Source organism: Homo sapiens, chromosome 1 (genome assembly GCF_000001405.40).
Source record: "Homo sapiens chromosome 1, GRCh38.p14 Primary Assembly".
NCBI lineage: Eukaryota > Metazoa > Chordata > Mammalia > Primates > Hominidae > Homo > Homo sapiens.
Genome location: NC_000001.11, coordinates 147,730,056 through 147,745,212, shown reverse-complemented (window position 1 = coordinate 147,745,212; position 15,157 = coordinate 147,730,056). Strand labels below are relative to the sequence as shown.

General features: G+C 41.5%; 2 long non-coding RNA genes across 2 annotated transcripts in view; one reads left to right on the top strand and one right to left on the bottom strand.

Annotated features, from left to right (window-relative positions):
* The window catches only part of LOC102723321 (uncharacterized), an 88,963-nt gene that overhangs the window by 44,478 nt on the left and 29,328 nt on the right, over positions 1 to 15,157 (bottom strand). The gene's annotated exons all lie outside the window — the stretch shown is intronic.
* The window catches only part of LOC105371230 (uncharacterized), a 40,010-nt gene continuing 29,990 nt past the window's right edge, over positions 5,138 to 15,157 (top strand). Inside the window, exons 1-2 of the long non-coding RNA XR_922077.4 lie at positions 5,138 to 6,525; positions 7,590 to 7,707. This is a non-coding gene — a long non-coding RNA (uncharacterized LOC105371230). The remainder of the gene's footprint in view (positions 6,526 to 7,589; positions 7,708 to 15,157) is intronic.

Below are 15,157 nucleotides of genomic sequence, written 5' to 3'. Positions count from 1 at the left end.
AGGGCCTCCATGGGGAAGGATACAAAGATTTGTAGTACATGCTTGTGACACTATCTCAGAGTTCTTTCTGTAGTGTTTTCAGCCTTTTTTTTTTTTTTTTGAGATGGAGTCTTGCTTTTGTCACCCAGGCTGGAGTGCAATGGCATGATCTCGGCTCACTGCAACCTCCGCCTCCTGGGTTCTAGCAATTCTCCTGCCTCAGCCTCCCAAGTAGCTGGAATTACAGGTGCCCACCCCCACACCCGGCTAATTTTTGTATTTTGATTAGAGATGGGGTTTTGCCATGTTGGCCAGGCTGGTCTTGAACCAGCCTCGTGATCCACCTGCCTCGGCCTCCCAAAGTGCTGAGATTACAGGCATGAGCCACCAATCTCGGCGCAGACTTTCTTTTATTCAAGGAGCTCTGGGTCTTTGAACTGATTCTGGTCTAGATTCTCTACCGTGGTGATTTGTGTCAGGCTTATGTTTGTCAGACCTCCAATTTATTTGATTATCCAGTCAAAGAAGTAATTTACTGAGCTGCCCCTCTATGTTGCTCTTAGGGACCCATAATCAGGTTAATACTTCCAGTGATTCCCGTGGGTCAAACCTGCTGATTCCACTCTGGCCCTGATGTTCTTTGTAGTAACCATGGCTGCCCTACCTCTGATGGCTAAGTGTTGCCTCTTCCACTCCAGGATCCAAACATCTCCTGTGAAATCAGGGAGCTCATTTCAATTGCATCATCTCCTACCTGCAATGCCAGCCTAAAATAATCTAGTTTACAGATGGATTTGTATAATATTCTGGCACCAGCAGTAAGCGGACTGCTCTTACAGCTCTACTTCAGGGGTGACCCTGCAGGACGGTAGAGAAGGGAAATCCTTCCACTATGCAGAGCTTTGAGTGGTATTTGTCATGGTGCACTTTGTGTGGAAGGACAAATGACCTGAGATCTGGATCTAAGCCAATTCATGGACAAGGGCTAATGGTTTGGTTAAGCAGTCAGGAACTTGGAAGGAATAAACTTCATGGATTTGTGACAAGGAGTTTTGGGGAAAATACATATAAACAAACTAATCATAATGGGTGAAAATATATTTATTCCATGAGAATGTTCTCCCAAAGGTGTCCACAGTGTAGGAGACTCTCAAATAGTGTACAAGATTTCATGCCATATGAATGTCAGTCAACCTCTTTCCCACTCACCGCAGTATTTTTCTCAGTGAGTTTATGAACATCACCATGGTGGTAGGATTAAGATCATAGATAAGCTCAACAAGTACTTTCCTTTACTGAGGCTGATCTGACCACACCACTGCTGAGTATTCAATTTCTTAGAGGCAGTGACTAACCTTGAAACCTTTAATCTAGTACCATGGCCTAGAGGTCTCAGTCTAGCACTTGCCTGGAAGGCTGATTACATTGGATTCCTTTTCATGGAGGGGGCAACAATTTGGTTCTCATTGGAGCAGATATTTATCTGGATATGGATTTGCCTTCTCTGTCCGCCATGCTTCTGTCAGGAACATCACTTACGGGTTTAACAGATGCTTGATTCACCGTCATGGAATCTTTTGTTTTGTTTTGTTTTTGAGACAGAGTTTCACTCTGTCACCCAGGCCAGAGTACAGTGGCACCACCACAGCTCACTGCAGCCTTGACCTCCTGGGCTCAGTCTTCCCACCTCAGCCTCCCTAGTAGCTGGGACTATAGGTGAGCACCACCATACCCAGCTAATTTTTTTTTTTTTCTAATTCTAGGCTCAAGCCATTAGTCCGCCTTGGCCTCTCAAAGTGCTGGGATTACAGGCGTGAGCCACCATGCCCAGCCTGTCATGGAGTCTTACATGTAATTGTTTCTAGCATCACCATAATGCTAAACCAACTGCATAATTACCATAATGCTGTAACAACAGCAATGACAACAACAAAATTCAGTGGTTTAACAAAATGAAAATTTATTTCTTGTTCATGTAATTGTCCAAAGTATATATTTCTGATTTGCAGTATCCCTTCATGTGGTGTTTAGGGGCCATCTTTTGGCTCTAGTATTCCTTAGAAGCTGAACATTCCCAGCATTCAGATGACAGACAGGAGAAGAGAATGTGGATCATCCCCATCAACTTCTTAAAAATCAAAGCCTGGAAGTGATACACATCACTTCTACTCATATTCCATTGGGGATAGCTAGTTACACAAATGGAAGGGATGCTCAGAAATAGTCAATCCCAATGTCAATTCTATATGAATATTTGGTGAACAGCTAGTCATCTAGGTCTAATGTTATCTGTGTGCCAGGCAAATGCATTATGGTAATTATGCATTTGGTTTAGCATTATGGTGATGCTTGAAACAATTACATGTTAGACTCCATGACAAGCTGGCAATGGTGGCTCACACCTGTAATCCCAGCACTTTGAGAGGCCAAGGCAGGTGGATGGCTTGAGCCTAGGAGTTAGAGATCAGCCTGGCCAAGATGGCAAAACCCCATCTATACAAAAAAAATACAAAATTGATCACCAAATATCAGTGGATACCTTTCTTCCCATACTTAAACACTTAGAACATAAACACACACCACGAAATAAAAAATCTCATTCAGCCACCACATCCAGCTCAAAGTCTAGGATCTCTGAGAGGTGTGCAGTTCTTTTTGGCAAGTCTGGATCTACCTCCTTATGGTCTGGAGACTTAGAAACTCAAAACAACTATCTGTGTTCCACTAATCACCACCCAAAATACAACATGGAGGTAGAAACACAGGAATAGTACAGGACATTCTAAAGTCCTCTTTCGGGAAGGGAAGAATGGGAGCTACAGAGCAGTCTCTTGTCCATCACAATGATGAAATCTTGCTTGAATAGGCACGATAAAAACTGCCTGCTCCAATATGAGGGGAAATTTCTGGATTAGATCTTAATTCTGATCTCTGGTGGAATTTCCTTGTCCATTGTTCTCCCTGGTACCTGGCTCCACCTTTGGCAGATTCTTCCGTGTACACTTTCCTCCATGGTCTCATCTGAAATGAACATCGTTGAGTTGGCCTTCCTTGGAACTACACAACATTCACAGCCTGCTTCCTGCTAGTGCAGATTTGGAGCCCTGAGAGCTGTTTTATATTTCAGGGTATTTTTTATTTATTTTAGCCAGGATTATGATTTATCTGCCAACACAATTCTCTCAAAGACAGTAGGCTTCTAATCTATTTGCTTCCAGTCAATTGCATGTGCCAGTAGCCCAAAAGTCTTTCCTAGACACAAGTCTTAGTACTGTCCTATTTCTTTGTTTCCTCACCCTCATGCCTCTCTCAACTCATCTGAGGCTACCCTATAACCATCTGGCCACAGGGTTCAGTATGGAGGTAATAACTTGAAGCTGATCTTTTTCATAGCCTGAGTCCTTCTGTATAACTGTGAAATCTTAATGAACCTTTGTTGCCCAAATATACTTTGCACCTTAACTCCCATTGTTTGAGGCCCAGAAAGTTCAATTTTTCCAGTCCCACAAGGTCCCATACTGCCTTTATAACCTTTAATTTGGATTTCATGACAGATTACTAAACCCAAATCATCTCAGTGTCTATTTGTGAAGAACTTGACCCAAGATCCTTGTATATTGACCATCTCCCTATTAGGATGTAAGTTCTAACATGGCAAAGACTTTGTCTATCTTGCTTATTACTATATCCCAATGCCTAGACCAGACCAGTGTCTAGCACATAATCATTTAAGGTGCTAAACAAGTATCTATTGAATGAATGAATGAATGAATGAATGAATGGAATAGGCACAAATAGACATTTATTTAATGAATAGATGAAATGAATTTAGTGTTCTCCTTGACAGATGTTCTGGTAAAGCTATTCTTCATTTCACTACATCCAGTGATGTTTTAGAGCACAGTAATGCTTTAGCAACTATCATAGGTTGACACTTTGGAAAACTGCCTGGTTGGCTCATGCCCAACTCTCACTGAGTGAATAAATGTGGTGCATGCCTAGGACTAGGAGAAGCAGAAGACACACAATGGGGGAAATGAGGTAAAGGAGGGCTTGCTTACTGAGTGCAATCAGATTGAGGCAGTGCCACCACTGATAATCAATAGGGAGAGGGAACTCTGTAAGCAGCTACGACTCTTCTGTGTAAGTAGCCACACTTTCTTTTGGCCAAGCAAGGGAAAGGCTGGCTATCCCTATAGAGATGTGGGAGAGAAGGGAATATGGCAGTTCTAGGTGTTTCCCTCTGATAAGGTAAACCCTGGAGCCTGATGCCTGATCCCTCTTTAATCCGTAGCTTTTAAACATCTTTGCCAAGCATGGAGCAGGGTTGGGTGGCAGCTAAAATTGGCTAAAAATAAATGCTGAAACAGACATTGTTTGTCAGGAGCAGGTGTTTTAGGAAAGTATAGTTTGACTTCTGAAAATAAAGAGTACCTCACAGGACTTTTGTAAGGGGAGACTGGGCACCTGGTGGCAGCAATGAAGGTTGTTTTCCTGTCCCAGGTCTCCTGAAGGAAGGCTGGCCAAGCCTTCCATCCCACCCCCATCCCTAATACCACCACATACCACAGCCCTGTCTTGGCTCTACCGGGTTGCTTTACCACCTCCTGCTCAATATAGATTCACAAAGCCACCACCTTCTGAGTCAAGGATTATAGAGTTTCTCAAAATAAGTTGCACTGAACAACTGCTGTACCCAGAAACAGACTGAATGGAAATTCCAAAGCCTTGGGACAAGGTTCCTATTCCCTCACACTTAAGCTCCTGCCCCTGGGCCCCTGTAGGCGCCTGACCGGGAAGCAAATAGAAAGAACAAATCTTTCCAACCCTGTTTTCCATTTTTGCATCGAAAAGAAGTTGGTCTAGGTCAGTGCATTTAAAGCCTTTTTGTAATAGGGAAGCTCTTCAAATACGATCTCCTGTAAGCTCACGCACAGAACTGGCCAATGCTGATTGAACAGTCCTAATTGAATTGTGAGGCAGGGAAAGGTGGGTAGCTGAGCCTTACCCACTTTGTCTCATCTCTGTCTCTCCTTTCTGTGGGCCTGGATGAGCTATCAAAATCCCTTCTGTCATAGCTAAGGGCAGAGCAGTGTGAGACCCAGCAGGCTGGGACACACTGAAGAGGGCCAGGACCTGGAAATAAACTACATGGGGCAGGTCTTCCTAGCTCATGTCAGTATTGCACCAAGGGAGCTGGGCCAAACTTAGCATACAAGCCCTGTAGGTATGAGTATAGGTGGAGATGGGGGGTCAAGTTGGCCTCAGCTGAGAAGAGAGAGGCCCTCTGTGTTAGGAACCCAGGAAGGGCCAGAGACCATGAGCAGTTTGATGTGACCAAAATGGAACTAAATGGTTACAGTATTAGCGTTTGCAGATGACATTGGAGAGGAAACCATGAAGGATCCAGTTAATGGGCCCTTGAAGGTGAGTATGGGAAGCTTGGACGTCACTGACCCTGTCTAGGTTTAGATGCCCCAAACATTCCACCTAGGCTTTCGCTCAGCCTTATTCCTGGCACCCACCTTCCACCACCCAATATGAGTCCATCCTCCACGCTGATGCTGTCATGATCTTCCTGAAACACAACTTGGCCTATCCCAGCACTCCCTCCTTCAGCTCCTTCAATGTATCCTTATGGAGTAAAGTCCAAACTCCTAAGCCTGCCTTTCAAAGTCCTCCACAACCTCCTTTTGAGCATGATCCTTCATGCACCTGTCCTTCTACAGGCCCCACCTCTCTGGCTGACTCGTGTTGGGCCCTCTACCCATTCTCCTTCCTCTCTGCAACCTCCCTTGCCTTCTCCCAGGGTCTTCTGTTGAAGATCTGTTATTCTTTAAGGCCTGGTTCTAATCTCATGTCCTTCAAAACTCCTTTTAAGATCTTCTAGTTTGAAATAGTCTCTCAAGCCACTGTATTTGTATATCATGTATCTACACCAGCACTTATCTGTCTGCCCAGTATCAGAGTTATTTATAAATGTCTGTTTCTCCTATTATGTTGTATGCTCTTAGAAAGCAAAAATAGAATTGACAAAAGAAATATTTGATGAGTTTCTCGTATTGGAGTTTATAAAAACCTTTTTGGAATAGTTCTATAGATATCTAAACACTAAGAGCAACCATCCTGAGCCTAGGACATGCTGATCTTTCAAGACCCACACAATTTCTACTCCTTGTTCTATGGTAGGTTATCACTAGATAAGAAATGCCACCCTGACAGGCCAAGAATCCTCCCCGCCCCTCTCAGCCCAGTGTTGTGTCTAACCGTGGAGCCAGGCTGGCGATTTGGGGCAGAGCATGGTGTTGATATCAAAACATTTGGACATCATCCACCACACTGCCTTAGTCCCTTTACTCGACTCTGGACCTATCATCTGAGGTGAACACATGACTGCTTAGTCTGTGAGGAATGGAGGAACGCAGGAACTTAGCAAGGGAGGCAAGTGGTTATACAGGGGGAAAAGCAGCCATCTGAGATAATTTATTGAGTATACTTATGTGCCAGGCTCTGGACCAGAGACTCTGGGTGATACAACCCTGAAAGGTAAGAAATATGGTTAAGTAGAAGTCAGGATAATGTGCAGTAGACAGACAGATTGTGCTCCTGAACCACAGGAAACTTAAAATGTTTACTTTGGAGAAACCTATGAATAGGAAAGTGAGGTTTCCAGTCTATTCCAGAGGAGCCAATTTAATTCATAATGTAACTAACTATAGTATCTTAACATTATAGAACTCAAGAAGCTTTTAAAATCTGATTCCAACAGAAAAAGTCATTTTGCATTCCAGTATGAATGCCATTTCCTCCAAGTACAGCCCTGGCCACACGCTTGAAGGTCCTCTCCCCTGCACAGGGCCCATGTAGTGGCAGAATGTGCCCTCAGCCAGTATAAATGGCAGGGAAGGAGAGTTCCTGAAGTGTCTAGTGTTTGAAGTGGGTGCCTAAGTGTCCCCAGCAGCAAGGAGGAGAGGAGAGTTTGAATGCTTCCTTGCTTCAGGGATGCGAGTCCTTGGCTGGAATGGTCATTTGTGTGGAATGGGCATTCACTGAGCATGATTTGTATGCTGGGAAGGGTCTATTTACTTAATTTGTTGAATTGGAGAATATAAGAGCTGAAAAGATCATTTAAGGTGAACTAATCGAAGGTGCACACTTTATAGAGGAGGAGACAGACACTAAAGACTTGCCTCTGGCTATACAAAAATTGTGGCAAGACCAGGCTATGAACCCAGATCTTCCATGGAGCAGGTCACTTCATCTGAGTTCAGTTTCTTCATTTGTTTAGTGGGAATGATCATGTCTCCCCAGCTCCCAGGGTTGTTGGGAGGTTCAAATGAGGACATGCTTATGGAATCTTTATAAATTGCAAAAAGCCATGCAAATGGAAGTTACTTCTGCTTCTTCTGTTCCCAACTGCTTCTTACTCCCGTCTTCAAACTTAGTAGTATAATGAAGTAATACAGGAGCCAGGATGTGTGATAGCAGGATCCCGAGATAGCCCAAATCCTACTAGCCCCTCCAGCCTAAGAAGCTGTGGGGCCTGTTAACACTTGACCCATTTTTCCTTTTTTTTTCTACCCCTGAAGCTGATATTTCTCTTTGGACAGGCAGCAGAAAACATGCTTGCTCTTCTTACTCAAGCAAGAGAGGGCCAGCCTCCTAGAAAATGTTTACAAGCTTCAAAGAAGACGTGCTTGCATGGGACAGCACGAGAAACATCCCCAGGTGCGTGTCAGAGCAATGCTGGCAGCCCTTTGGTCTCACCCAGTATGAGGCTGTAGAGAGCAGGGGTTCTCAGCAGAAATCCCTCCTGAAACAAGAGCTTTCCCCTGGGTGCCACCTTTGTGCCTTCAAATACGCTGGTTTAGGTTGTATGTACATGTTCCACCTACTCCCACTTGCAGATATTTCTGCAATAAGTTAAAAAATATTTTGCAATTGTTTGCCATTGATGGGTCATTTGTTTTTCAATTACTTGGTGCCATTTTTAGAAATGTCCTATCAACTACCACTATTCAGCTATGGCATTCTATTGCTGGTGTGAGCCCACACATCTGGGCACACTTTCCTATAAGAAAGGTCTTACTGAGTTCTGATTGGTTGATTTTCCTTGTGGTCCAGCTGATTACAACACCTTTCTGCACAGGACATTCACAAGATTGCCCATAATAGCAACCACTCTGACAGAAAAATCATGTGTCAAGTGTGTCATCTGTTTTAAAGCATCAAACAGCTGTGAGTGAAAATCATAATGGGAGGTAACATTTATTAAGCAATGAATGTATCAGGCCCAGTACTGAGTATGTCACTTGAATAATTTCATTTAATCCTCACAACAACCTTCTAAGGTAGGTTGACTAATATTATAAATATTTGCATTTTACAAATGAGGAAACTGAGGCTTAGCTAAGTTAAGTGACCTGCTCACAGTCCCATAGCTTGTAAACAGAAGAGGTGGGATTTGGTAACATTAATCTAGGTCAGTGGATTTTGCATGTGAAATTCTAAAAATGATTTAAAAATAAAGGTGCACTTCAGCATGTTCTCACTCATAAGTGAGAGATGAACAACGAGAACACATGGACACAGGGAGGGGAACATCACACTCTGGGGCCTTTCAGGGGGTGGGGGCCTAGGGGAGGGATAGCATTAGGAGAAATGCCTAATGTAGGTGACAGGTTGATAGGTGCAGCAAACCACCATGGCATGTGTATACCTATGTAACAAAACTGCACGTTCTGCACATGTACCCCAGAATTTAAAGTATAATAAAAAAATAAAAATAAAAACAAAGGTGCACTTAATTGCATAGTTGATAAAAAGTGCTCCTCAGTGAATAAAATGGAAAAATGTTCTGAGCTGTTGTTTCAGGCCAGGAAGGCGTTTACTGTGATCTGATATGAGTCTTGTGGTACAGAGAGGACCTTGCATGTAGCAGGCCATAGATGGTTACTAAGTTCTGTAGGACAGTCGGAGGTACCCCAAGAGGGCAAAGCTGGGCCCCTACCCAGCATTACATGACTCTGAACAACAAGAAATTATGGAAGGATGGGTGTGGTGGCTCACACCTGTAATTCTAGCACTTTTGGAGGCTGAGGCAGGAGGATCCTTTGAGCCCAGGTGTTCGAGACCAGCCCGGACACCACAGGGAGACCCTGTCTCAAAAAAAAAAAAAAAAAAAAAAAAATATATATATATATATATATACATATATATATATATATATATGGAAAGGTTCCAAAGAGCACCATCCTGCCCAAGTCACTTCTGTATTTATTCTCATAGATGCCTATTTAGTCTGTAGGCATGGGCTACTTGTAGGTTCAGTGCCAGAAACAGCACTGGATATTGCAGCACATGTAACATTTTGCAGGTAAGATGTAAACCCACCTTACTCCCTTCTTTACCCTCTCCTCCTGTGGCTTCTTCCATCTCCCTCACCTATTCCAGGAGGCTTTGATGTAAGGTTTTTTGTTAGTATGCTCAGTGAGTAGGGAGCAGTCAGTATAGGGAGGTGGGTGGGAGCCATGATTGTCTCCCTGTCACCACAAGTACAGCTGAGACTGTGCTCCATCCAGTCACACTCCAACAGCAGCTGCCACAGCAACCACACTCTCAGCCTAGTTTCCAAGAGTCAAAGTGGCTGTCCCCAAAGCCCCCTGGAATGTTGATAGAGCTGAAAACTCAGATTAAAAAATGACTCGATAAAAAATTGACTGAGTCAGAACTTAAAGACTATGCCTTGCTCAGCCCTACCCCCATTCTGCTTCTGTTTCCATCTCATCCAGTGCATGTTCTAGCTGTTATATGCAGTGTAAGGACACCACACATGTGAAGTAATAATGTGATAGTCCTTTAGAACTTCTCTAGAAAGGATCTCAGTAGACATGTGTTGCAGATACACAAGTAAGCCCAGGAGATCATAGGCTCATGTTACACAGATTATGGGGTGATCACATGCCTTTAGTCAAGCTTTGAGTCTTATTAAATACTAATCTATAAAAGTTCATCTTCTGCTTAAGGGAGCTCTACATCTGGAAATGAAAGAACAATATCTATCATCATGAAAACACAAAATTATAAAATTCACTGGTAAAGCAGACACATAAATGAGAAAAAGGACTCAAATGTTACCACTCAGGAAAACCACCAAGCCACAGTGACAAACAATAAGAGAAAAAAAGAAACAAAGGATATACAAATCAGTAAGAAAACAATCATTAAAATGACAGAGATAGTCATTATCTGCCAATAATAACCATAAATGTAAATGGATTAAATTAACAAATTGAAAGATAAAACTTGCCATGAATGAGTAAAAATTCATGACCCAATCATATGTTGCCTACAAGAAACGCATGTCACCTGTAAAGATATATACTGACTGAAAGTAAAGGGATAGGAAAATATATCCCAAGTAAATGGAAACCTGTGGGGAAAAGAGAGATCAGATTGTTACTGTGTGTAGAAAGAAGTAGACATAGGAGACTCCATTTTGTTCTGTACTAAAAAAAATTCTTCTGCCTTGAGATGCTGTTAATCTATAACCTTACCCCCAACCCTGTGTTCCCTGAAACATGTGCTGTGTCCACTCAAGGTTAAATGGATTAAGGGCTGTGTAAAATGTGCTTTGTTAAACAAATGCTTGAAGGCAGCATGCTTGTTAAGAGTCATCACCACTCCCTAATCTCAAGTACCCAGGGACACAAACACTGTGGAAGTCCGCAGGGACCTCTGCCAAGGAAAGCCAGGTATTGTCCAAGGTTTCTCCCCATGTGATAGTCTGAAATATGGCCTTGTGGGAAGGGAAAGAACTGACCGTCCCCCAGCCTGACACCCGTAAAGGGACTGTGCTGAGGAGGATTAGTATAAGAGGAAGGAAGGCCTCTTTGCAGCTGAGACAAGAGGAAGGCATCTTCTCCTGCCCGTCCCTGGGCAATGGAATGTCTCGGTATAAAACCTGATTGTATGTTCCATCTACTGAGATAGGGGAAAACAGCCTTAGGGCTAGAGGTGGGACATGTGGGCAACAATACTGCTCTGTAAGGCATTGAGATGTTTATGTGTATGCATATCTAAAGCACAGCCCTTAATTCTTTACCTTGTCTATGATGCAGCGACCTTTGTTCACGTGTTTATCTGCTGACCTTCTCTCCACTATTATCCTATGACCCTGCCACATCCCCCTCTCCGAGAAACACCCAAGAATGATCAATAAATACTAAGGGAACTCAGAGGCTGGCGGGATCCTCCGTATGCTGAATGCTGGTCCCCTGGGCCCCCTTATTTCTTTCTCTATACTTTGTCTCTGTGTCTTTTTCTTTTCCAAGTCTCTCGTTCCACCTAACGAGAAACACCCACAGGTGTGGAGGGGCAACCCACCCCTTCAGAAACCAAAAGCAAGCAAGAATACCTATACTTATATCAGATAAAACAGACTTTAAGTCAAAACAGTAAACAGATTGACTATTCCACAGAACATGTTAAAAAAAAACAGTAAAAAAAAAAAAGACCATTCTAAATATATATGACACCAGAGCACCCAGATATATAAAGCAAATATTATTAGATCTAAAGGGAGAGATAGACTCTAATGTGGTAATAGTTGTCAATTTCAACGGTCTACTCTCAGTATTGGACAGATCATCTGGACAGAAAATCAGTGAAGAAACACTGGATTTAAACTGCACTTTAAGCCAAATGGACCTAACAGACAATTACACATTTTTTTAACTTTTAAGGGCAGGGGTACATATGCAGGTTTGTTACATAGGTAAAACTGTGTCATGGGGGTTTGTTATACAGATTATTTTGTCACCCAGGTATTAAGGCTAGTACCCATTAGTTATTTTTCCTGATCCCCTCCCTACTCCCATCCTCCACCCTCCAGTAGGCACAGTGTCTGTTGTTCCCCTCTATGTTTCCATGTGTTCTCATCATTTAGCTCCCACTTATAAGTTAGAATATGTGGTATTTGATTTTCTGTTCCTGTTAGTTTGCTGGAAGTTCCTGGAGCTTCCAGCTCCATCCATGTTCCTGCAAAGGATACAATCTCATTCTTTTTTATGGCTGCATAGTATTCCAGGTGCATATGTACCACATTTTCTTTATCTAATGTATTCTTGATAGGCATTAGGTTGATTCCATGTCTTTGCTATTGTGAATAGTGCTGCAGTGAACCTATGCATGCATATGTCTTTATGATAGAATGATTTATATTCCTTTGGCTTTATACCCAGTAATGAGATTGCTGGATTTAATAGTAGTTCTGTTTTTAGCTCTTTGAGGAATTGCCACAATGCTTTCCACAATGGTTGAACTAATTTACACTCCCACCAATGATGTATGAAGCCCCAAGTTCAAGTGATTCTCCTGCCTCAGCCTCTCGAGTAGCTGGGATTACAGGCACCCACCACCATGCCCGGCTAATTTTTGTATTTTTAGTAGAGACGGGGTTTCACCATGTTGGCCAGGCTGTTCTCAAACTGCTGACCTCAGGTAATCTGCCCACCTCAGCCTCCCAAAGTGCTGTGATTACAGGCGTGAGCCACCACGCCTGGCTGTGATTTCAATATTTTAAAATTTGTTGAAACTCATTTTGTGTCCTGACTTATGGTTTATCCTGGAGAATGCTCCATGTGCTGATAAGAGCAATGTTTACTCTGCAGAAAAAATTGACAAATGGGGCCTAATTAAACTAAAGAGATTCTGCACAGCAAAAGAAACTATCAATAAACAGACAACCTACAGAATGGGAGAAAATTTTTGCAAACTATGCATCTGACAAAGGTCTAATATCCAGAATCTATAAGGAGCTTAAACAAATTTACAAGAAAAAAACAAAAAACCCCATTGAAAAGTGGGCAAAGGACAGGAACAGACACTTTTCAAAAGAAGACAGACATGCATCCAACGAGCATATGAAAGAAAGCTCAACATCATTGATCATTAGAGAAATGCAAATCTGGCTGGGCGTGGTGGTTCATGCCTATAATCTCAGCACTTTGGGAGGCCAAGGTGGGCAGATCACATGAGCTCAGGAGTTCGAGACCAGCCTGTACCACAGTAGAGTAAAACTATAAATTAATAACAAAAGGAACTTTGGAAACTGTACAAACAAATGGAAACAAAACAACATGCTCCTGAATGACCATTGGTTCAAGGAAGAAACTGGGGAGGAAATCACAAAATTTCTTGAAATATATGAAAATTTAAGCACAACATACCAAAACGTATGGAACACAGCAAAAGCAATGCTAAGAGAGAAGTTTATAGTAATAAATGCCTACATCAAAAAAGTAGAAAGAGTTCAAATAAACAATCTAACCATGCACTTCAAGGTACTAGAAAAGCAAGAACAAATCAAACCCAAAATCAGTAGATGGAAAGAAAGAATAAAGAGCAGAACTAAATGAAATAGAGACTAAAAAAAAAAATACAAAAATTAATGAAACAAAAAGCTGTTTTTTGAAAAGATAAACAAAATCAATAAACTGCTAGTTAGACTAACCAAGAAAACAGAAGACTCAAACAAAATCAGAAATGAAAAAGGAGACATTACAACTGATGATATCACAGAACTACAAAAGATCATCAGAGACTGTTATAAACAACTATACACTAAAAAACTGGAAAACCTAGAGGAAATTCGTAAATTCCTAGACAGATACAACCTGCCAAGATTGAATCAGAAAGAAATAGAAACCCTAAATAGACCAATAACAAGCATTGAAATCAGTAATAAAAAGTCTCCCCAAAAAGAAAAAGCCCAGGACTGGATGCCTTCACCACTGAATTCTGCCAAACTTTAAAGGAAGAACTAATACCAATTCTCTTCAAGGTATTCAAAACAAATTTAAAAGGAGGGAATTTTCCCTAACTTATTCTATGAGGCCAGCATTATCCTGACACCAAAACCAGCCAGGGGCACAACAAAAAGAAAACTATAGGCCAATATCCCTGATAAACATACGGGTGAAAATCCCCAGCAAACCAAATCCAACAGCATATGAAAAAGATAGTACACCATGATCAAATGGGGTTTATTCTATGGATGCAAGGATGGTTCAACATATGCAAATCGATTAATGTGATACAGTACATAAACAGAATGAAGGACAAAAGCCTCCATATGATCATCTCAGTAGATGTTGAAAAACATTTGATAAAATCCAAGATCCCTGCATTATAAAAACTCTCAACAAACTAGGCATAGAATAAGCACACCTCAACACAATAAAGGCCATATATGACAATCCCACAGGTAACATCATACTAAATGAGGAAAAGCTGAAAACCTTTCCTCTAAGAACTGGAACAAGACAAGGATGCTTACTTTCACTACTCCTATGCAACATAGTACTGAAAGTCCTAGCCAGAGCAGTTAAGGCAAGAGAAAGAAGCAAAAGACATGTAGGTTGGAAAAAGAGAAGTCAAATTGTCCCTGTTTGCAGATAATGTGATCTTACATTCAGAAAAACCTAAAGACTTTTAGATCTGATAAATAAATTCTGTAAAGTTTCGGGGTACAAAATCAACATACAAAAATCAGTAGCATTTCTATACACCAATAATGAACTAGCTGAGAAAGAAATAAAAAAGGCAATCTCATTTACAATAGCTTTTTTAAAATACCAAGGAATAAATTTAACCAAAGAGATGAAAGATTTCTAAGAGGAAAATTACAAAACACTGATGAAATAAATTGAAGGGGACACAAACAAATGAAAAAACATCTTATGCTCATGGGTCAGAATAATTAATATTGTTAAAATGTCCATACTACCCAAAGCAATCTACAGATTCAATGTAATCCCTATCAAAATACCAATGCCATTTTTTCATAGAAATAGAAAAAATAATTTTAAAATGTGTATGGAACCAAAAAAAAGAGCCTGAATAGCCAAAGCAATTCTGAACATAAAGAACAAAGTTGAAGGCATCACACCACCTGACTTCAAAATGTATTACAAAGACATAGCAACCAAAACAGCATGGTATTAGTACGAAAACAGACACATAGATCAGTGAAACAGAATAGAGATCCCAGAAGTAAATCCACATATTTTTAGCCAACTGATTCTTTACAAAGGCAACAAGAATGTACATTGGGGAAATGTGACCCTCTTCAATAAGGTGCTGGGAAAATTGGATATCTATATGCAGAAGAATGAAA